The sequence below is a fragment of the Homo sapiens genome, chromosome 20 (genome assembly GCF_000001405.40).
Source record: "Homo sapiens chromosome 20, GRCh38.p14 Primary Assembly".
In the NCBI taxonomy this organism is placed as follows: Eukaryota; Metazoa; Chordata; class Mammalia; order Primates; family Hominidae; genus Homo; species Homo sapiens.
This window is the reverse complement of record NC_000020.11, coordinates 43,870,206-43,894,717: the sequence shown is the minus strand read 5'-3', so window position 1 is coordinate 43,894,717 and position 24,512 is coordinate 43,870,206. Positions and strand designations below refer to the sequence as shown.

The 24,512-nt window shown below is 38.8% G+C and overlaps 1 long non-coding RNA gene across 1 annotated transcript; it reads left to right on the top strand.

Moving 5' to 3' along the window:
* The first annotated feature begins 9,212 nt into the window (after positions 1-9,212).
* Positions 9,213-11,098, top strand: LOC124904908 (uncharacterized). Its single transcript, XR_007067595.1, has 2 exons — positions 9,213-9,443; positions 10,452-11,098. It is a non-coding gene; the product is annotated as an uncharacterized LOC124904908 (long non-coding RNA).
* Positions 11,099-24,512: the final 13,414 nt, after the last annotated feature.

Here is a 24,512-nt window from a genome sequence, read left to right as displayed (position 1 = left end):
TGTGGTGGAGGGGAGTGAGCTGAGGGAGGCTGGTGGTCCAGCACTGAGCCTGGCCATTGTTGCAGAACAATTGCCCCCCAAGAACAGAACAGCAGACGCTAATTATGAGACACTTGTGTCCTCCATGTAATTATGAGATCTGTGTGACCATTAGCATAAGAAACTAGCTCGCTGGCTTGTTTTGGTTATAACTTTCCCCAAACTGCTGTACTCAGGAATCTGAAGAAGTAAAACGATGAACTCGGGGCTTCATAAAAGACTCAGCCCAGAGATTGTCAAGTTTAGGTCACATGAGAATCACCCGGATGCTTGAAAAACATGCAGATTCTCAGGCCTTGATTCCAGAAATTTGGATTTAGTGCATCTGAGTGGAAATGAAGGTGGTTTAGCCATTGAGATTCATAGAAGTCCAAACTTAGTTCTCCCTTGGAAGCTGGCAGAAGTCCTGGCACCTATCTCAAAGTTTTCTAAGTACCTCCACTCCCTGAGCAACGGCTCTCACTGCCCTGCTGATGTTGCCTGAGCCTCAGGGGTTAAGCCCAAACACTGATTGAACCCCAAGCTGACTCAAAGGGAGGAGCAAGTCAAATGACTAATTCCCTGCCTAGACAGAGCCTCAGATCTCATGGGAAAGGTAAGAGTGGAGAATAAGAACACAAACCTGGAGCAACGAGGAGTCTGGGAAGGGTCCCCCAATCCCTCACTCCTGAGTTCATCAGTCATGCAAGGATCAGAAGCCTGTCTTAATCCAGCTTGGGTAAAAGGGTAATTGATGAGTGAATTTGCTTTACGTGGAAGGGGCTGCAGCTGGCTGCAGAAATAACCAGAACCCAAAATTAAATGCCGCCTGGACTCTCTCCATGCTTACACACTGGCTTTCTGGGCCACATGGGCACCACTGCCCCCCTACTTCACATCTTCCAGGCTCTTCCATCCTAAAGAGGCGATCCTTCTTTAATTCCAACTTGAAAGTTCCCAAAGAGATCCACTTCCTCACCTGTGTGTCCAGAGAAGTAAAAGTGGCAATGACTGGCCACCCACAGAACCAGAGGGAGGGAGTAGGAGAGGGGGCCTCTTCCTGCAGGAAGGGGATGCTAGACTAGGCCAAATTAGTTCTCTAAGGCTCTTCACATGCTCTATGTCTCTTAAACCTTGTGACCACCGACTGAGACAGGTAGACTCATTCCTCATTTTGACAAATAAGGAAACTAAACAGAAGGTAGAGTGACTTTCCCAAGGTTACCCAGCTAGTCTTTGGCAGAGCTGGACTTCCTGAGCAGGTCTCCCTATATCCCAAGTCCAGTTTCTCAATGGCATTGTGCCAAATGGCATGTTCAATGCATGATGGAGACGCCAGGTTTTCTGGAATGTTTGGTCAAGTGTCCTGCAGAAGAATGACAGCTACTGAGGGAATATTGCACAGGAGACTAGACAGGTGGACTGGGATAATATTCTAGAAAAGGGAATGTTAGACTAAACTTAGGCTCTTATTTAGAATGCAATGGGGAGTCGATGAAGGTTTTGAGCAGAATTGTAATATTATTAGATTTTTAATTCTAGTCTTTAAGAAAGCTGAGCATATTCTAGTCAATGCATAGAGGTTAGGGTCTCAGGAGCCAGGCACTGTTCAAAGAACCATAGATTCTCATTTTCTACATCTCAGGAGCTGTCGCCAGTCACCCTCACCAGGACATCCACAGTCCCTGGACTGGCCAGGTTCTGGGCTCAATATGTATCCCCTCATTAACCTCACAACAAGAAGGAAATAGAAGTGATGATTCTAGTCATGGAATCCTAGCTAGTTACTGGGAGTATAAAGAATAGAGCTCCCAAAGGGGACAGGAAGGAGCTTGTTGGGTGAACAGCTGGTCTTTCTATGTGTCTATATCTCTCCATATATCAATATTTTTGTCAATATAGATACTGGTGTCAACGCCAATATTGATGTTGATATCCTATTGGTTCTGTTTCTCTGAAGAAACCTGACTAATACAGGGACCAAGAGGGGTCAAGGTGATGGCAGGAGGGCCACTTAGACATGTCCAGGTGATAGAGGTAGGACATAGGAGGAAGTCCCTTGCACATTAGAGGTCTAGGTACAACTCCGTCCCATTTTTAAAACTGAGATATAATTCACACACTATAATATTTACCCTTAAACTGCAATTCAGTGGTTTTTCATACATCCACAGAGTAGTCCAACAGTCACCACTATCAAATTCCAGAACATTTTCATCACTCTAAAAAGAAACTCTGTAACCATTAGCAACCACTCTGCATTACCCCCTTCTCCAAGCCCCTGGCAACCACTAATCTTCTTTCTGTCTCTATGGATATGCCTTTTCCAGACATTTCACATAAATGGAATCATACAATATGTGACTCTTTGTGTCCGGCTTCTTTAACAAAATGTTTTCAAGGTTCATCTGTGTTTTGCATGCATCAGTAGTTCATCCCTTTTTAAGGCTGACTAATATTTCACTGTATGGATATACCATGTTTCGTTTATCCATTCATCAGTTAATGGACATTTGGGTTCTTTCTACTTTTTGGCTATTATGAATAAAGCTGCTATGAACATTTCTGTGCAAGTTTTTGTATGAACATAGATTTTCAATTCTGGGGATCATATACCTATGAATGGAATTGCTGGTTCATGTGGTAACTGTATGTCTGACTTCATGAGGAATTGCCAGAGTTTTTCAAAGCAGCTGCACCATTTTACATTCCCACCATCAGTGTAGGCATGTCCCAATTTCTCTACATCCTCGCCAACCTTTATTATTGTCCATCATTTTTATCATAGCCATTCTAGTGGTCTGAAGTACTATCTCATTGTTTTAAGCTGGGTGCAGTGGTGCATGTCTGTAGTCCCAGATACTTGAGAGGATGAAGTGGGAGCATCACTTGAGCCCAGGAGTTTGAGGCTACAGTATGCCATGAATGTGCCTGTGAGTAGCTACTGCACTCCAGTCTGGGCACCATAGTGAGACCACATCTCTTAAAAAGAACACAAACAAAAAATGTATTCATTGTTGGCTTTTTTTTTTTTTTTTTTGAGATAGAGTCTCGCTCTGTTGCCCAGGCTGGAGTGCAGTGGCGCGATCTCGGCTCACTGCAAGCTCCGCCTCCAGGGTTCACACCATTCTCCTGCCTCAGCCTCCCAAGTAGCTGGGACTACAAGCACCCGCCACCATGCCCGGCTAATTTTTTGTATTTTTAGTACAGACAGGGTTTCACCATGTTAGCCAGGATGGTCTCGATCTTCAGACCTAATGATCTGCCCACCTCAGCCTCCCAAAGTGCTGGGATTACAGGCATGAGCCACCTCACCCGGCCCATTGTTGGTTTAATTTGCATTTCTCTCCCTGCTGGCTAATGATGTTTGGCATCTTTTTATGTGCTTATTGTCTTTGTACATCTTCTTTGGAGATATGTATATTCAGATCCTTTGCACAATGTTTAAATTGGGTTATTTGTTTAGTTATTGTTGAACTGTAGGAGTTCTTTATATATTCTAGATATAAGTCCCTTATCAGATATATAATTTGAACTTTTCTCTCATTCTGAGTAGTCTTGCACTTTCTCAGTGGTGTCCAACAAAACATAAAAGTTTTATATTTTGATTATGTAGAGTAATTTCATATAATTGCTGATAAGGTAGGCTTTATGTCTGCCATTCTGATGTTTGTTTTTATATGTTTCTTTTTTTTGTTTCTTCTAGTCCTCCATTATTACCTTCTTTTGTACTAGATATTTTCTAGTATTCCTTTGTCATTTCTTTCACTATATATATTTTAGTTATTTTCTTAGTGGTTGCCCTGGAGATTATAATTAGCATCTTAATTTATAACAACCTAGTTATTACCTTCATTTCAATTGTATACATAAACCATTCTCCAATATAACTTCATTCCCTCTCCAACTTTTGTACTATTTTTGTCATACAGATTACATCTTTACACACTGTATGACCATCAACATAGATTCATAATTTTTGCTTCATATCGCTATCCTTTAAAACAAATAAGAGAAAAAAAGGGTTACAAAGAAAAAAATAAATTTATTTTTCCTTTTGTATGTATTTTGGCCTTTGTATTTACCTATGTAGTTACCTTTATTTCTTTATGTCGATTTGAGTTACTTCCTATTGTCCTATCATTTCAGCCTGAAGGACTGAACATTTCGTTAGTATTACTTGTAGAAAAGCTTCAGGCTGAAATACCTGACAAACTGCCTCCATTTCTGTCTTTCTGGGAATGTCTTAATGTCTCCTTCATTTTTAAAAGATAGTTTTCTTTGGATATAGAATTCTTGGTTGACAGTTTTTTGTCTTTCAGGGCTCTGACTATACCAACCCACTGTCTTCTGACATCTATGGTTTCTGATTAAAAGTGAGCTGACAATCTTATTAAGGCTCTCTTATACATGGTGAGTCACTTCTCTCTTGATACTCTGAAGATATTCTCTTTGTCTTTGCCTCTTAACAGTTAAATTATGATGTGTCTAGGTAAGGATCTTTCTTAGTTTATCCTAGCTGGAGTTTGTTGAGATTCTCGAATGTGTAGATTAATGTTTCTCATCAAATTTGGGAAGTTTTAGCCATCCCTTTTTTTTTTTTTCTTTTGAGACGGAGTCTCACTCTGTCACCCAGGCAGGCTGGAGTGCAGTGGTGCAATCTAGGCTCACTGCAAGCTCCGCCTCCCAGGTTCACACCATTCTCCTGCCTCAGCCTCCCAAGTAGCTGGGACTACAGGCGCCCGCCACCATGCCTGGCTAATTGTTTTGTTTTGTTTTGTTTTGTATTTTTAGTAGAGACGGGATTTGACCATGTTAGCCAGGATGGTCTCAATCTCCTGAACTCATGATCCACCCACCTCGGCCTCCCCAAAGTGCTGGGATTACAGGCGTGAGCCACCACACCCAACCTAGCCATCCTTTTTTTTCTCAAATATTCTTTCTGCCACTCTATCTTCTCTTCTAGAAATCACATTATGCATATTTTTGTATTCTTGGTCTATCTCAGTATGCTTGATAGGTCTTTGAGACTCTTCATTTTTCTTCATTCTTTTTATCTTTCTCTTCCTCAGACAGATAATATCATTTGACCTATCATCAGGTTTGCTGACTTCTTTTTCTTCTGCCTGTTAAAATGTTCTGTTGAGCTCCTCTAAGTGAATGTTTCATTTCAGCTACTGTACTTTCAACTCCAGAATTTTTGTTTTAATAATTTCTATCTCTTTATCGATATTCTATATTTCATCAGACATTTTTAAACTTTTCTTTAGTTCCTTAGACATAATTTCCTTCATGCTTTAAGCATATTTTAAATAGCTAATTTAAAGCCTTTGTCTAATAAATCCAACATCTGGGGTTCCTTAGTGTAGTTTCTCTTGTTTTTGCCCCTTTTTCCTGTTTATGGGCCATCCTTTCTGATTTCTTTGCATAACTTGTATTTTTTGTTAAAAAAGTTGACCTTTAAAATAATATAATATGGCAACTCTGGAAATCAGATTCTCCCCCTCTCCAGAGTTTGTTATTATTATTTGTTGTTGCTGCTGCCATTTTTTTTAGTGTCCTTTGGAATTATTCTGTAAAGTCTATATTCTTTGTCACATGTTGCCGCTGAAGTCTCTGCTTGGTTAGCTCAGCCACTAAAGATTAAAGAGAGATTTCCTTAAATGCCTCAGACCACCACATCTCCCATTCTTCACTTTGGGGTTCTGTGTGGATGTTGAGACACTGCTAAACACTCTGCAGGGAAGCAAAAGAAAAGGTCTTCTGAAGAAAATCACTTGCTAAAAGAAAAGTTTAAGTTCCCAATAAAATTCAAGAAAATGTAGAGCCTATAAAATGTAAGATGAGAGACAAAATAATAATGCAGAAGAATGGGATGAACAGAAGCCTGGTTGAGATTGTTTTTACTGTGAGAAACTAATAATATAAGAAATAAACAATGCTATGGCAGAATTTTAGACTGTGGCTACAGTAATAAAGTACTGCAGCAAAACAAATGCATATCAAGTCATCGATGTTGATAAGATGTCAGGAATGCAGTGATAAAAGAATAAGGGTGAAAATTATAAAAGAGAAAGCAGGAATGCAGTGGGTAAAAGAAAAAGGATGAAAGGAGAACTAAATATGTGATCCATCGTATGGAAAACTGGTTTGTTCATTCGTTAATTCATTTAATAAATATTTATTGAACACAGACTTGGTGCTAGGAACTGAGAATAAATCATGAACAAAACAAAGTTTTAGCCTTAATGAAGCCCACATTCTGGTGGAAAAACAGAAAATAAACAAATAAGTATAATGTAAATAATAAATATTTAAATTATAGTAATATAATATAGTATATGCACTAGCATATACTATAATATACTAGCATATACTAACATATACTTGCATATACTAGCATATACTAGTAAATGCTAGTATATGCACTAGCATGGAATGGTAAGTTTTATAAAGAAAAATAACACAGAATGAAGGGTTACAGAGTGACTAGTGCATGTCAGTGGAGTGGCACTGCAGTTGGGAAGATAATATCTTAACAGAGACCTGAATTAAATGATGGAGAGAGTCCTGTGGATATCTGAAGGAAGACTGTCTTAGTCTGTTTAGTGTTGTTGCTGTAACAGAATACCTGAGACTGGGTAATTTATAAAGAAGAGAGGTTTATTTAGCTCACAGTTCTGCAAGCTGGGAAGTTCAAGGGTATGGCTCAGGCTTATGTTGAGGGCTATTGGTCTACAGCATAACATGGTAGAGAAGGTCAAATGGGCAGTGGATACATGCAAAAAGACTAAACCCAAGGGGCATCCTGGCTTTATAAAATCCAACTCTTGGAGAACTAATTCTGTATTGGACATTTCAATTTTGAGATGCCTATTAAACATCAATTTAGGTTTAGGCTTAGGAGGTGTTGAGTTGACAGATGAATATATAAACTGAAGATCAAGGAAAATGTCAAGACTGGAGGTACAACACTGAGAATCATCAGTGCGTAAATGATGTTTAAAATCATGGCACTTAAATCCCACTGGCTATTAGACCAAAGTGTTGGACCCAGAAATGAGAAGATCATGATAAAAGGGGACCAACAATAAGCAATAAAACCAACCGAGTGTGAAATCTACTCCAAATACAATAATTTCTAAAAATTAACTCTCAGAAAAGAATTACTCTAAATTTGCGTCCTTAAAAAAATCTCTCATATTATGGAGAGAGTCCTGTGGATGTCTGAAGAGAAAGTGTCTTAGTCCATTTAGTGTTGCTATAACAGAATACTTGAGACTGGGTAATCTATAAGAAGAGGCATGAGGGAAAAGACATGGACAGGCCATGAAAAAAATCAAGGACCCATCTCCCTACATAGACAGCATTCTGATCCATGGTAATAAGGCTGAACAAGAAGACCAATTTGGAAAGGCACTATTATGGAAATGCACCTTCAAAAAAAAATTTTTTTTTTGATATGGAGTCTTGTTCTGTTGCCCGGGCTGGAGTGCAGTGGCGCAATCTCGGCTCGCTGCAAACTCTGCCTCCCAGGTTCAAGCGATTCTCATGCCTCAGCCTCCCAAGTAGCTGGGATTACAGGTGCCCACCACCACGTCCAGCTAATTTTTGTATTTTTTAGTAGCGATGGGGTTTCACTATGTGGGCCAGGCTGGTCTCTAACTCCTGGCCTCAGGTGATCCACCCACCTCGGCCTCCCAAAGTGCTGGGATTACAGACATGAGCCACCGTGCCCAGCCTCAAATTCTTTATTTTGAACAAAAATCTTGTTTGGCAAAGAAACATCAGCCTGAAATGACCTCAATCAACACTGGTTTGCAATGATTAGAGATGTCACCTGACAGAATCAGTAAATAAGGAAGGCAAAGAAATTTGACACAGATTTAGTAATTATTGCTAAAGGTCTATCACCTCACAATTGCAAGTGTCAAATGTCTTTGTAAACAATCCTTCTAAAGCTCACTTGAAAATCAATACAGAAAACGGTTGTCTGTGGAAATCATGCACATATACCATCAGGACAAATTAAACAACCAAAAATCTGTCCGCACATAATGGGCTATTGTGGCTTGGGATAAAAGTTTCCGTGGGAGCAAACATATAGATACAAACATAAACGTGTCACAATGACTCAAATGGAAATGAACACAATGTACTGTGGAAAACTGTGCTGGACGATTTAAAAAAAATGGATCTACTGACGACAGAGACACTAATGTCCAAGACGCCAGTGAGGAGTTTCAGTAAAATTGTTTCTTACAACTTTATTATTATATGAGTAGGAAAAAAGCAGTAAATTAAATTACCTTTATAATATATAATTTTAAATTGTATATATAATGAAACTACTCCAATAAAATGTATAAGTAAATATCAATTTCAATAAGGTTCTAAAGGTTATTTATACTTAAATTGGCCAAAATTCTGGAGAATATTCTCAACTGGAAAAGGAATGGAGGTGTTTTATGTTCTGGGTTATCCTGTATTTAAACATATATGGTGCTGGATATTCCTATGGCTATAAAACTAAATGCAAAGTTATATCATTATCTTCAATTTGGTGGCATGAGGGAAAGACATGGACGGGCCATGAAAAAAATCAGGGATTCATCTCCTGACATAGACAGCATTCTGAGCCATGGTAATAGCTGAACAAGAAGACTAAAGCCCTCCCCATTGTTCTGAGTCAGATTCTTAATACTGATAAGGGTACACTCCAAAAAAGGAAGAAAATGTGTGTGTGTGTGTGTGTATGTCTGTGTGCAAGCACGCACAAGTGAGCACACACATGGATGTCAGGAAGGCAAAGGCAGAATCAGGGAGGCTGGAAAATATCATTTGGGAAATATTTTCAGAGCGATAGACCAATATCTTCAACAAATACCTGTTGGGTTGGGAATATTATTAAGTTGGTGCAAACATAATTGTGGTTTTTGCCATTAAAAGTCATAGCAACCTTCAACACAGAAAGCCTATGGTTATGAGCTTTTCCTTTAGTTTGACATCTCTTTGATATGGTTGGTCCGCCCCCAAAAAGGAGAAATATGTCAGTCAGAAGAGGCATCCACAGTGGGACAGGGCACTTCCATGGCTCACGTTGCACAGTGGGTTCAACAAATATGGAACAATGTACCAACTTCCAGTTAAAAAAATAATGAATTGAACCCAAGCTTTGAGCTCTGCTTTCTTTGGAAATGCCATTATAGCAACAATAAAGGGTTTTAACAAAAAACCAATAAGGCAAGGACCAATGGGAAAAAGCAACATCAAAATTTTGGAAACTGGAAAGCAGATAGACAAGCCGAGGACTGAGAAAGTTGAGTTATAAGCCCACGGAGGGTAAATTCAAGAACCAACCCAGTTTATACTAAAGAACCCCCGAGTCACTCAGCAATTGCTGTCCAGGATCTCTGGAAGTAAAGGTGAGGATTTGACTAAAAATTCAAGAGTTGCTGAAGGTCTGTTTAAGAGACATTTGAACTCCTCTGCCCCATTTTCCCCCTGAATCTTTACACCCAGGCAGATGACTGAATGTCTAGTTTTTGCAAAAGGGATGACAGGTATAATTGACAGACACAAGAGAATTATTAAGTCTAAACACACACATCCCAGATCTTGAGATTCTTAAGCCTCTTCCCCTGCTCAGATAGTGTAACTCGGGTGGCCAGGCCTTCTGCCTTTAGGGAGGAGACTGTACAAGTCTTCTCTGGGGAATTGACCAGCCCAACAAGAAAGACCCTGATATACTGACATGGGGATTGCCCAGGGAAATAGTCTGTCAAATAATCCACAGTTATACAGCCAATAAGCTCCACTCATGTTTTCAGAGCTTCCAATAAACTTTTTAATCTTTCATTCCTAAGTATGTGCAGATAGCTAGAGATTACCAGACATGTGAGGAAAACCTCCAAAGTGAAAATCAGAGAACAAAACTAAACAAAAAAAGAGAGAGGTTATGGGGATGGGATATGGTAGGTAGAATAATGCCCTCCCAAAATGTGCATGTTCGAATCCCCAGAACCAGGGAATGTATTATGTTACATGGCACTTTTGCAGATTTAAGGTTGCAAATGGAATTAAAGTTGTTAATGATCTGATTTTGAGATGAGGAGATTATCCTGGATTATCCTAGTGAGCCCAGTCAAATCACATGTGTCCTTAAAAGCCAAGAACTTTTCTTTGCCATGGTCAGAGGGAGATGTGGCAACTAGAAAAGAGACAGAGAGATGTGAGGAAACAGGCTATGAGTTAAGAAATGTGACTGGTCTCTAAAAGCTGAAAAAGGCAAGGAAACAGATTAGCCCTAGAACCTCCAGAAAGAAACATGATCCTTCCAACACTGTGATATCAGTTCAGTGAAACCCATATTGAACATCTAACCTACAGAACTATAAGATAATACACTTACATTGTTTTAATTTTTTTTACAGCAGCAACAAAAACCAGTACAGGGGTATTTAGAGAAACAGAAATTATCCAGAAAGAAGAAAATCTCTTTTTTAAAAAGTATTAGTTCCCTCAAAGGGATGAAGTATTGCAAACATGAAATAGGAACAGGATTCTATTTTAAGAAAAGCGACATTCTGAAACCAAAAAAGTGCTCATAAAGTTAAAAATACGATATGAAAAAAATTAAAGTCAGCAGCAGGCTTGGAAGCTATAGATGAGGAAATCTCCCAGAAAGTAGATCAAAAAGACAAAGATATAGATAATAGGAAAGAAAAGATAAAAAACAAAACAAAACAAAACAAAAAAAACTAGAGAAACCATCCAGAAGATGCCATCCAAATAAGAGGAGTTCCAGAGAGAACAGAGAAACACAGGGGAGTACATCAGCAACAAAACAACAATAAAACATGTCCCTAAGAGAGTGACAAGAATTGCCAGATTGAAAAGGCCCATGAGTACCAAGTGAGACGGACAAAAATAGACCCATGCTGAAACATATCATCGTGAAATTTCGGAACACTAGGAGCAAAGAGAAGATTTTAAAAAATAATTTCTGATCATTTTTAGACTACCTAATCTGTCCATTCCTTGGAGGAATACAATAAAAGATTCAACTGGGAATAATGAATTATCCTCTCCCTGTGGTTCTGTCACTTGTTGCTTGATATATTTTTAGTGTCTATTTTCAGGTGCGTATATATTTGTATTGGGTTTTTTGTTATATTGTTCCTTTTATTAGTATATAACCTCTTGCTTTGTTCATTATGATGTTTTGGCATTAAATGGTATTTTGTCACGTGTTGAAATTGCCAGATTATCAATATTTTCATATTTGCCTGGAATCCAGTCTGATTTTTCAACTTTCTTTGCCTTTTTGTATTGCTTATTTCTTATTTTAAAAACATAATATTGTCTCTTTCTTTTAAAAAATCTACTCTGAGCTGTCTGTGAATTTAATTAGTGAATTTAATCCATTTTCATTTATTATTATTATTGTTATAATGTATTTCACAATTTACACTTACAGGGATTTTTCTTTTTTCCTTCTTCTATCCAACTTTCTTTTGGGTAGGGAGAATTTCCTTTTGCTGCTTCAAAATTTATTTATTTTGCTTTGGGCCTTGTGTCAGTTGCCCTTAATTTAAGACCCATACTCAAGTTTATTTATCCTTATTTATTTCTTGAACTTGACTATATTTATATCTAGTCTTCCGTGTTTTTCATATCACTTGTAGTACCCACTTGACGTCGGTCTGATTCTTGTTTGTTGGCAATCTGCTTCAACTTCAAAAACATTTAGAATTTGTCTTTGATGTTCTTACGTTTCACTCTAATATAGCTACAGGTTTTTTTGAGGGGTTTGCTTTGTTTTGTTTTGAGACAAAATCTCACTCTATCCACCAGGCTGGAGTGCAGTGGCATGATCATGGCTCACTGCAGGCTCAACCTCCCAGGCTCAAACAATTCTCCTGCCTCAGGCCCCCCACGTAGCTGGGACTACAGGTGCACACCACCACATTCAGCTGATTTTTTATTTTTTGTAGAGAAGGGGTCTCACTATGTTGCCCAGGCTGGTCTTGAACTCCTGGACACAAGCAACCTTCCTGTCTCAGCCTCCCAAAGTGCTGGGATTACAGGTGTGAGCCACCACACCCAGCTAAGTATAGGTTTTTCTTATCTCTTTTGTTTGGTGTTCTATAGGACTTTTCAAGCCAGAGACTTGTCTTCAATTTTAGGAAGCTGAATCTTCACTGTTTCTTTAAATATTTCATCTTCTCAGTTTTTTTCTTCTCTTAGTGTTTTCATTTTTAAAATATTAACACTTTTACTTCTGTCCTCCATATTTCAAAGCATTTTGAAAATATATATTTTTCTCCCTCTTCATCATTTCCTACTGCCTCAGAATAATTCCTCTACCTAATCCTCCATTACATTAATTTGTTCTTCAGCTGTTTCCATCCTTTTATTAATTCTATCTCTTGTATTTTTTGCTTTAACTATTATACTTTTCATACTCGATATTTCCACTTGGTTCTTGTCCATGATTTCTTACTTTTCCTTCATATGCTTAAAATCATCTCTTATTTTCTTAATTATTTCTATAATGTTTATTTTAAATTCTGAAGCCATCTCTCAATAATGCTGCTTCAGGTGGAATGCATTCCATTTGTCTTTTTTTTTTTCTTTCTCTTTAACAAGACAGGTATTTCTCAGGTGTCTAGATATCTTGGCCTGTGAATTCATTTTCCCACAGTGGAATCAACTACTTTGTTTAGCAGAGTATGAATGAAACCTCAAGGGCCAGGCTCTCATCTGTGTCCCTGTGGATGAATGTCAGTTAAGGAGAGGGATGAGCCTCTGAGTAGAGAAGCTCAAGTACCACAAAACAACAGTTAGCCACTGCTCTTTGCTGCCATTGTAACTGACAGCTCCTCTAGTTGGGGTTTCATTTTGCATCAATTCCTCACTCAGCAGAGCACCCAGCACCATGTTTACTGGCACTGGAGGTTTGGACTATTGCTTCCAATTTCTATGGTGAAGTGGAAGTCAAAGATGGTATCAAGGCACTTCAGGAGAAGCAGCAAGAGAAGAGCTTTTTAAAAGCTTCCTGCCAACCCTGTGGATTTTAATCTTGGTTCAGCATTACACTCATATCTGGAACATTTTTCAGATGCCACTGCATCACAGACCAATGAAATCAGAATACCTGGGATGAGGCTTGGAGGTGAGTATTGATTTTCTCAACATTGTATTTTGAAAACAAAAATCAAACCAACAAATCAGTCTTAAAAAAAATAGTACAGAGAACATCACTGCTGTCTTCACCTGGATTCATCAAAAGTTGCCACAGTTGCTCTCATTCTCTCTCTCTTATTCTCTGTTACGAGGTGTTTTGTTTTGTTGAAGCATTTGGAAATAAGTTGCAGACAGCTAGTAATTCAACATCAGCTAAGGAGGAGGACATTCTCCTATATTTCCCTGTTATCTGGTGTGAATATTTTTTAAAGCTTCTCAGATGATATCTAACATGCACCAGGATTGCAAATCACTGCTCTAACCCACCTTCCCATCATTGCCTTTGCTTGTCCCATCCTTTTCTGCTTCCTACATACACGAGTGTGTGCACCCATATACATACACTCCAGCTCAAAGCAGCCATGAGACCCTTCCAGGGGCTTCCAACACTCCTTTGTTAGTTCCTCCAGTCCGTGTTTTATCCTATTTCTGTGGTTTCTCCAGAGTAGAGTTCATGGCAAGAACCATCGATGTGGGCTTCTGGGTCACCTTGACAGGCACTTGAAGCCCTCGAGCTCTGTAAATTTATTTTATAATGTTGATGTCAGGTCCAGCTCTTGATAAAGCAGTGAAGAAATCACATTTGAGGCAAAACATAAAAGTACAGAAAAACTGAAGGTAATCCTAATGCAAACTAAAGTCTGTGACTGAATTTGTTTATAAGGTTTCTTAAACATACATGAAATATTTATTTAGCAAAAACAAAATAAAGACTAAATTAACCCACTTTGTCCATAGGCCCATTTCAGTCTGAGTTTTAAATTCCTAAAATTAAGTTACCTGATCCAGTCTCCAAGTTCCTTTAAAAAAAAAAATCTTGAAATAGTGCATCTTTCTCAACATCTTTACCATGTTGGACATTATAACATTGTAAATCTTTTTCAATCTGATGTGCAAGTGATGATGTCTTAGTGTGGTTTTAGTTTGCACTTCACTGGCTATCAGCAAGGTCAAACATCTTTTTACATAGCAGATTAGTCATTTGTACATTCTATCTGATATTCTTAATGTTTGCCCATTTTTTAAGAGAGGTTTTTAAATTAAAGGTCAATAGTATTTCCCTCCAATCTTACCTTAAAGTAACCAATATTTTCTATTGGTTTTGCATCCTTCTGAATCTCTCAAAATGCATCCAGATATATATTCACTTATAGAGTTCTAGTAAGACGATTCTGAAGCTACCCAAATACCTAAGGGTAGAGTGCAAAGTGTGAGGAATCATGAAGGAAAATCTATCCATGCCAGCCCAAGGCAAGTACAAATCCTAAATAGAATCCTATTCAAAGGTGAGAAGAGAGTGAGAAGCAAGAACTTAGCAACCAATGACAAGGAAATGAACACAGCAGCGTAGAGAGATGAAGACCATATTTCTATAAACTGAACCCATAAAACAGATGAAAATTTGGGGCAAATCTACTTTCTATTCTCAGTGGCATGGGAAAAAGTTCAAGGACTCCAAAGAAAAAAATGGATGAAAAATGAGCTCCTGTAACTATGGATTGGGTTTACAAAAGAATGGGCAATGCTAAGAAAAAACAGTAAGAGGTCAAGCAACGCTACTGCAACATTTTTTAAATGGGTAGGAAGGGAGAACGGATTCATCATTGAAGGAACCCAGGTTGTCAAGATGGAGGGTCCTTGAGAGAAAATAATGCAGAACGTAGAAGCAAAAGACAAAGGATTGAGGAAAACCACAGAGGAAAGAAAAAGAGATGGAGTATAGGATAATTGGTGCTCCTAAAGAAGAGACTAGAGGCTGGGCGTGGTGGCTCACGCCTGTAATCCTAGCACTTTGGGAGGCCGAGGCGGGTGGATTGCCTGAGCTCAGGAGTTCAAGACCAGCCTGGGCAACACGGTGAAACTCCATCTCTACTAAAATACAAAAAAATTAGCCAGGCATGGCAGTGTGCGCCTGTAGTCCCAGCTACTCGAGAGGCTGAGGCAGGAAAATTGCTTGAACGTGGGAAGCAGAGGTTGCAGTGCGCCAAGATCACGCCACTTCACTCCAGCCTGGGCAACAGAGTGAGACTCCATCTCCAAAAAAAAAAAAAAAAAAAAAGACAGAAACAGAGTTCGAAACATAAAAGGAGAGATCTTTCCTAATATGAAAGAGGAACAAAGGAGGCAGTTTCAAGGCAAGTTCTCATAAAAAATTATTTCATTTTAGTTATAAAGAAAAATGTCTGTAAATATCTACACTGAAGAAAAACGACCCTGATGTTTCTGCCATACAATTCACTGCCAGAAGACAAGGCAGTGTTTTAAAGGAAGAAAAGGAATATGGTCCCAAGTTCTAAGCCCCCAAATTCTAAGCCCAGTCAAAGTGCCAGTCACCTGGTAAGGAAACAGGCTGTTATTAAACATCAGAAAACTTTAGGAGGAGGTCACATAAACACTCTCTCAAGAACTAGTTGAATAAGTATATATTTCTGAACATGAAGTCTGTGTTGCAGAAAGCCTGGGGTAAGAGCCAAATCCATCCAAACTGCATCCAAATTCCAAACATGAAATGAAGACTAAATAGCCATGGAAAGTATTGTTATAAGAAAGAACAAAAACATTAAGTTCCTTGACAAAGAAAGACACCTAATACAAATATTAATGATAAGTTCCTTATAATAGGCTGGGGCAAAAATTCAGGATACACAAATCGGGTGAGGTGGATTTGGAATTGATATTGACGGAGGAGAGAATGAGAGGAAGCAAAAACGTGCAGTTGGCCTTCTCTTTCATAGAGAAAGACAAAGGGGAAGGCCTTACTGCTAGAACTCATGAACTGGAGAACGAGGATTGATCAAGTTATTCAATTATCAATAGATCTAAAAGCAGAATCTATATGGGCATTCAATTACTTTAAAAATTATGAACAGTAAAGCAAAAGATATAAAGGAAATTATACTGTGATGAATCACAACAAACAAAATAACCTAAGAACATTTTTAAACAGAAATTACTATGACAATAAATGAAAATGGAATAAACACAGATATTTTTTAAAAGCTTAAATTAACACATAAAATATAACTCCACAAACACTTAAGTAAAATAAAATGATTCAGAAAGACTATGAGTAAGAGGACCAGCAAAACTTGTTCAAAAAAATTGTTCCAGGAAAAACAAATAAGCAGAAAGCAGAACCACAATCACATCAGATGAAGTAGAACTCTTTCAAAAATCCAAACAACATAGAAATCTGTTGCCCTTTAAATCATCCCAATGCATAATGAAAGAAAATTTTCAATTAATGTTACAAATTATGCAGAATTAAATATTTAAAAAGTAGACAAGCACAAAATGGAAGACTACAAACCCAATTATGAATATACATGCAAAATAACAAAATATTAGCAAATAAACTAAATAGAACATTAAAAGAAAAATTGTGAGAATAAGCAAGGGTTATTCAAAATTTGGTAGGCTGTTAATATAAAAGGAAAAAAGTTTCAATAAATATCTAAAAAACAATTTTTTATTTTTTCTGAGACTGAGTCTTGCCCTGTCACCCAGGCTGGAGTGCAGTGGCATGATCTTGGCTCACTGCAACCTCTGCCTCCTGGGTTCAAGCCATTCTCCTGCCTCAGCCTCTCGAGTAGCTGTGATTACAGGCACGTGCCACCACACCTGGCTAATTTCTGTATTTTTAGTAGAGATGGGGTTTCACCATGTTGGTCTAGCTGTTCTCGAACTCCTAACCTCAAGTGATCCACCCACCTCAGCTTCCCAAAGTGCTGGGATTACAGGCATGAGCCCCACACAGGGCTCTAAAATACAATTTTTAAAAGTAATATATCTATCCCCGATGGCAATGTTTCATAAAACAAGAATAGAAGGATAGTTCCACAACAAAAACATTTGCACGTGTACGTCAAATGAGTGTTGGCATCATTTTCAAAGGGAAGACACACATGAGATGCCCCCTCAATCTGAGAAAAGACTAAGGAGATTGGTGCTACCACTGCTTTTGTTCTCTCTTCTGGAGGTGCTACCGATGTCACTAGACAAGAGAATGAAATTAGAGATACAACTATTAGGAAAATAAGTATAATGATTAATATTTAAACATTTTATTATTTTCCACCTAGGGGAAAAAAAAAACAAGAAAATGAATTGAAAACCTGTTAGAAATCATAATAGATTCAGTAAGGCAGGCGGCCTAAAAATAAATATGCTGAAGTCACCCTCCAAGATGGCCGAATAGGAACAGCTCCAGTCTACAGCTCCCAGCGTGAGCAACGCAGAAGACAAGTGATTTCTGCATTTCCAACTAAGGTACCGGGTTCATCTCACTGGGGCTTGTTGGACAGTGGGTGCAGCCCCCGGAGTGTGAGCCAAAGCAGGGCAGGGCATCGGCTCACCTGGGAAGCACAAGGGGTCCAAGGGATCAGGGAATTCCCTTTCCTAGCCAAGGGAAGCCGTGACAGATGGTACCTGGAAAATCGGGACATTCCCACCCTAATATTGTGCTTTTCCAATGGTCTTAGCAAATGGCACACCAGGAGATTATATCCCATGCCTGGCTCAGAGGGTGCCATGCCCAAGGAGACTCGCTCCCTGCTAGTACAGCAGTCTGAGATCGAACTGCAAGGTGGCAGCAAGGCTGGGGGAGGGGCGTCTGCCATTGCTGAGGCTTCAGTAAGTAAACAAAGTGGCTGGGAAGCTCAAACTGGGTGGAGCCCACCACAGCTCAAGGAGGCCTGCCTGCCTCTGTAGACTCCACCTCTGGGGGCAGGGCATGGCTGAACAAAAGGTAGCAGAAACTTCTGCAGACTTAAAAGTCCCTGTCTGACAGCTTTGAAGAGAGTAGTGGTTCTCCTAGCACGAAGTTTGAGATCTGAGAACAGACAAACTGCCTCCTCAAGTGGGTCCCTGACCCCCAAGTAGCCTAACTGGGAGACACCTCCCAGTAGGGGCTGACTGACACCTCATACAGCCCGGTGCCCCTCTGAGACAAAGCTTCCAGAGGAAGGATCAGGCAGCAACATTTACTGTTCTGCAATATTTGCTGTTCTGCAGCCTCCGCCGGTGATACCCAGGCAAACAGGGTCTGGAATGGACCACCAGCAAACTCCAACAGACCTGCAGCTGAGGGCCCTGACTGTTAGAAGGAAAACTAACAAAGAGAAAAGACATCCACACCAAAATCCCATCTGTACATCACCATCATCAAAGACCAAAGGTAGATAAGACCACAAAGATGGGGAGAAACTAGAGCAGAAAGGCTGAAAATTCTAAAAATCAGAGTGCCTCTTCTCCTCCAAAGGAACGCAGCTCCTCACCAGCAACAGAACAAAGCTGGACAGAGCATGACTTTGACAAGTTGACAGAAGTAGGCTTCAGACGATCAGTAATAACAAACTTCTCCGAGCTAAAGAAGGATGTTCAAACCCATCACAGAGAAGCTAAAAACCTTGAAAAGAGATTAGATGAATAGCTAACTAGAATAAACAGCATAGAGAAGACCTTAAATGACCTGATGGAGCTGAAAACCATGGCATGAGAACTACATAATGTATGCACAAGCTTCAGTAGCCGATTCAGTCAAGTGGAAGAAAGAGTGTCAGTGATTGAAGATTAAATGAATGAAATGAAGCGAGAAGGAAAGTTTAGAGATAAAAGAGTAAAAAGAAACTAACAAAGCCTCCAAGAAATATGGGACTATGTGAAAAGACCAAATCTACATCTGATTGGTATACCTGAAAGTGACAGGGAGAATGGAACCAAGTTGGAAAACACTCTGCAGGATATTATCCAGGAGAACTTCCCCAACCTAGCAAGGCAGGCCAACATTCAAATTCAGGAAATACAGAGAATGCCACAAAGATAGTCCTCGAGAAGAGCAACTCCAAGACACATAATTGTCAGATTCACCAAAGTTGAAATGAAGGAAAAAATGTTAAGGGCAGCCAGAGAGAAAGGTCAGGTTACCCACAAAGGGAAGCCCATCAGACTAACAGCAAATCTCTCGGCAGAAACTCTACAAGCCAGAAAAGAGTGGGGGCCAATATTCATCATTCTTAAAGGAAAGAATTTGCAAACCAGAATTTCATATCCAGCCAAACTAAGCTTCATAAGTGAAGGAGAAATAAAATCCTTTACAGACAAGCAAATGCTGAGAGATTTTGTCACCACCAGGCCTGCCTTACAAGAGCTCCTGAAGGAAGCACTAAACATGGAAAGGAACAACCGGTACCAGCCACTGCAAAAATATGCCAAATTGTAAAGACCATTGATGCCAGGAAGAAACTGCATCAACTAACAAGCAAAATAACCAGCTAACATCATAATGACAGGATCAAATTCACACATAACAATATTAACCTTAAATGTAAATGAGCTAAATGCTCCAATTAAAAGACACAGACTGGCAAATTGGATAAAGAGTCAAGATCCATCAGTGTGCTGTATTCAGAAGACCTATCTCACGTGCAGAGACACACATAGGCTCAAAATAAAGGGATGGAGGAAGATCTACCAAGCAAACAGAAAACAAAAAAGGCAGGGGTTGCAGTCCTAGTCTCTGATAAAACAGACTTTAAACCAACAAAGATCAAAAGAGACAAAGAAGGCCATTACATAATGGTAAAAGGATCAATTCAACAAGAAGAGCTAACTATCCTAAATATATATGCATCCAACACAGGAGCACCTAGATTCATAAAGCAAGTCCTTAGAGACCTACAAAGAGACTTAGACTCCCACACAATAATAATGGGAGACTTTAACACCCCACTGTCAACATTAGACAGATCAACGAGACAGAAAGTTAACAAGGATATCCAGAACTTGAACTCAGCTCTGCACCAAGCGGACCTAACAGACATCTACAGAATTCTCCACCCCAAATCAACAGAATATACATTCTTCTCAGCACCACATCACACTTATTCCAAAATTGACCACATAGTTGGAAGTAAAGCACTACTCAGCAAATGTAAAAGAACAGAAATTATAACAAACTGTCTCTCAGACCACAGTGCAATCAAATTAGAACTCAGGATTAAAAAACTCACTCAAAACCACTCGTCTACATGGAAACTGAACAACCTGCTCCTGAGTGACTGCAGGGTACATAACGAAATGAAAGCAGAAATAAAGATGTTCTTTGAAACCAATGAGAACAAAGACACAACATACCAGAATCTCTAGGACACATTTAAAGCAGTGTGCAGAGGGAAATTTATAGCACTAAATGCCCACAAGAGAAAGCAGGAAAGATCTATAATTGACACCCTAATATCACAATTAAAAGAACTAGAGAATCAAGAGCAAACACATTCAAAAGCTAGCAGAAAAAACTAAGGTCAGAGCAGAACTGAAGGAGATAGAGATACAAAAAACCCTTCAAAAAATAATGAATCCAGGAGCTGGTTTTTTGAAAAGATTAACAAAATAGATAGACCGCTAGCAAGACTAATAAAGGAGAAAAGAGAGAAGAATCAAATAGACTCAAAAAAAAGTGATAAAGGGGATATCACCACCGATCCCACAGAAAAACAAACTACCATCAGAGAATACTATAAACACCTCTACACAAATTAACTAGAAAATCTAGAAGAAATTGATAAATTCCTAGACAAATACACCCTCCCAAAACTAAACCAGGAAGAAGTTGAATCCCTGAATAGCCCAATAACAGGCTCTGAAATTGAGGCAATAATTAATAGCTTACCAACCAAAAAAAAGTCCAGGACCAGACAGATTCACAGCCGAATTCTACCAGAGGTATAAGGAGGAGCTGGTACCATTCCTTCTGAAACTATTCCAATCAATAGAAAAAGAGGGAATCCTCCCTAACTCATTTTATGAGGCCAGCATCATCCTGATACCAAAGCCTGGCAGAGACACAACAAAAAAAAGAGAATTTTAGACCAATATCCCTGATGAACATCGATGCAAAAATCCTCAATAAAATACTGGCAAACCGAATCCAGCAGCACATCAAAAGCTTATCCACCACGATCAAGTTGGCTTCATCCCTGGGAAGCAAGGCTGGTTCAACATGCAAATCAATAAACGTAATCCAGCATATAAACAGAACCAAAGACAAAAACCACATGATTATCTCAAAAGATGCAGAAAAGGCCTTTGACAAAATTCAACAGCCCTTCATGCTAAAAACTCAATAAACTAGGTATTGATGGGACGTATCTCAAAATAATAAGAGCTATTTATGACAAACCCACAGCCAATAGCACACTGAATGGGCAAAAACTGGAAGCATTCCCTTTGAAAACTGGCACAAGACAGGGATGCCCTCTCTCACCACTCCTATTCAACATAGTGTTGGAAGTTCTGGCCAGGGCAATCAGGCAGGAGAAAGAAATAAAGGGTATTCAATTAGGAAAAGAGGAAGTCAGATTGTCCCTGTTTGCAGATGACATGACTGTATATTTAGAAAACCCCATCATCTCAGCCCAAAATCTCCTCAAGCTGATAAGCAACTTCAGCAAAGTCTCAGGATACAAAATCAATGTGCAAAAATCTAAACGTTCCTATAAACCGATAACAGACAAACAGAGAGCCAAATAATGAGTGAACTCCCATTCACAATTGCTTCAAAGAGAATAAAATACCCAGGAATCCAAATTACAAGGGATGTGAAGGACCTCTTCAAGGAGAACTACAAACCACTGCTCAATGAAATAAAAGAGGACACAAACAAATGGAAGAACATTCCATGCTCATGGATAGGAAGAATCAATAACGTGAAAATGGCCATACTGCCCAAGGTAAATTATAGATTCAATGCCATCCCCATCAAGCTACCAATGACTTTCTTCACAGAATTGGAAAAAACTACTTTAAAGTTCATATGGAAGCAAAAAAGAGCCCACATTGCCAAGTCAATCCTAAGCCAAAAGAACAAAGCTGGAGGCATCACACTACCTGACTTCAAACTATACTACAAGGCTAACCAAAACAGCATGGTACTGGTACCAAAACAGAGATATAGACCAATGGACGGAACAGAGCCCTCAGAAATAATACCACACATCTACAACCATCTGATCTTTGACAAACCTGACAAAAACAAGAAATGGGGAAAGGATTCCCTATTTAATAAATGGTGCTGGGAAAACTGGCTAGCCATATGTAGAAAGCTGAAACTGGATCCCTTCCTTACACCTTGTACAAAAATTAATTCAAGATGGATTAAAGACTTAAATGTTAGACCTAAAACCATAAAAACCCTAGAAGGAAACATAGGCAATACCATTCAGGACATAGGCATGGGCAAGGACTTCATGTCTAAAACACCAAAAGCAATGGCAACAAAAGCCAAAATTGACAAATGGGATCTAATTAAGCTGAAGAGCTTCTGCACAGCAAAAGAAATGACCATCAGAGTGAACAGGCAACCTACAGAATGGAAGAAAATTTTCACAATCTACCCATCTGACAAAGGGCTAATATCCAGAATCTACAAAGAACCTAAACAAATTTACAAGAAAAAAACAACCCCATCAAAAAGTGGGCGAAGGATATGAACAGACACTTCTCAAAAGAAGACATTTATGCAGCCAACAGACACATGAAAAAATGCTCATCATCACTGGTCATCAGAGACATGCAAATCAAAACCACAATGAGATACCATCTCACACCAGTTAGAATGGCGATCATTAAAAAGTCAGGAAACAACAGGTGCTAGAGAGGCTGTGGAGAAATAGGAACACTTTTACACCGTTGGTGGGACTGTAAACTAGTTCAACCATTGTGGAAGACAGTGTGGTGATTCCTCAAGGATCTAGAACTAGAAATACCATTTGACCTAGCCATCCCATTACTGGGTATATACCCAAAGGATTATAAATCATGCTGCTATAAAGACATTTGCACACGTATGTTTATTGCGGCACTATTCACAATAGCAAAGACTTGGAACCAACCCAAATGTCCAACAATGATAGACTGGATTAAGAAAATGTGGCACATATACACCATGGAATACTATGCAGCCATAAAAGAGGATGAGTTCATGTCCTTTGCAGGGACATGGATGAAGCTGGAAACCATCATTCTGACCAAACTATCGCAAGGACAGAAAACCAAACACCACATGTTCTCACTCATAGGTGGGAATAGAACCATGAGAACACTTGGACACAGGTTGGGGAACATCACACACCAGGGCCTGTCGTGAGGTAGAGGTAGGGGGAAGGGATAGCATTAGGAGATATACCTAATGTAAATGATGAGTTAATGGGTGCAGCACACCAACATGGCACATGTATACATATGTAACAAACCTGCACGTTGTGCACATGTACCTGAGAACTTAAAGTATAATAAAAATAATAATAATAATACTAAAATAAATAAATAAATAAATATGCTAAAATCTATAGTTTTCTTAGGTTTTCAACAATGACCAACTAGAAAATATGACCGATTTTTAAAATTTCATTCATGCCAGCAATAAAACTCAAAAGATACCTAAGAATAAAGTTTATAATGTGCATGATGTCTATGAAAAAGGAACAACAATTTAACTCTCCTGAAGCATTTAACAGAAAAAAAGAGAGAGAGAGAGAAATAGTGTGTTTTTAGATAAGAACATTCAATTTGGTTAAATACTTTTAGAAGATAATTTGGCAGTGTTATCAAAATGGCAAATGAACATTCCTTTTTATGTCCCACTTGAAAGGACCCTACAGAAATCCTACCACAAAGTACAGAACTATTATACACAGAATGACTCAAGAATTTTGGACTGAGCAATTGAATAAACAGTCATGCTGTTTCCAAAGTTAGCAAAGTTTATCAAATTGGCAAATTATCAAATAAATGCCTTAAAAAGTGCTTACCCTTTGAGATGGCAATTCCATTCCTAGGGATTTATTCTTAGGAAATATTCATGGTCATGCTCAGAGTGAATTTCTGGGAAATTCATTGCAGTGGTATTTATAATAATGAAAAAATACAAACAATTTCAGTGTTTAACAATGGAATATTGTGTGGCCCTAGACATTTATGCAGAAAAATATTCAATGATATGGAAAGAGAAACATGATTATACTGTAACATGAAAAAATCATGTTAGAGGACAGTATGTACTATTACATATAATGTGATTGAAATTTTGTTGAAAAAAACTATATGAATACACATAGGCTTAGGAAATAGACTAGAAAGATACAGATCCATTGTTGACAGTGGTTGTCTCTGGGTTACACATTTCTGTGTGATTTTAAATTTTCTGTCTATATTTTCTAGATTTTCTCCAATAATCATGTTTTACTTTT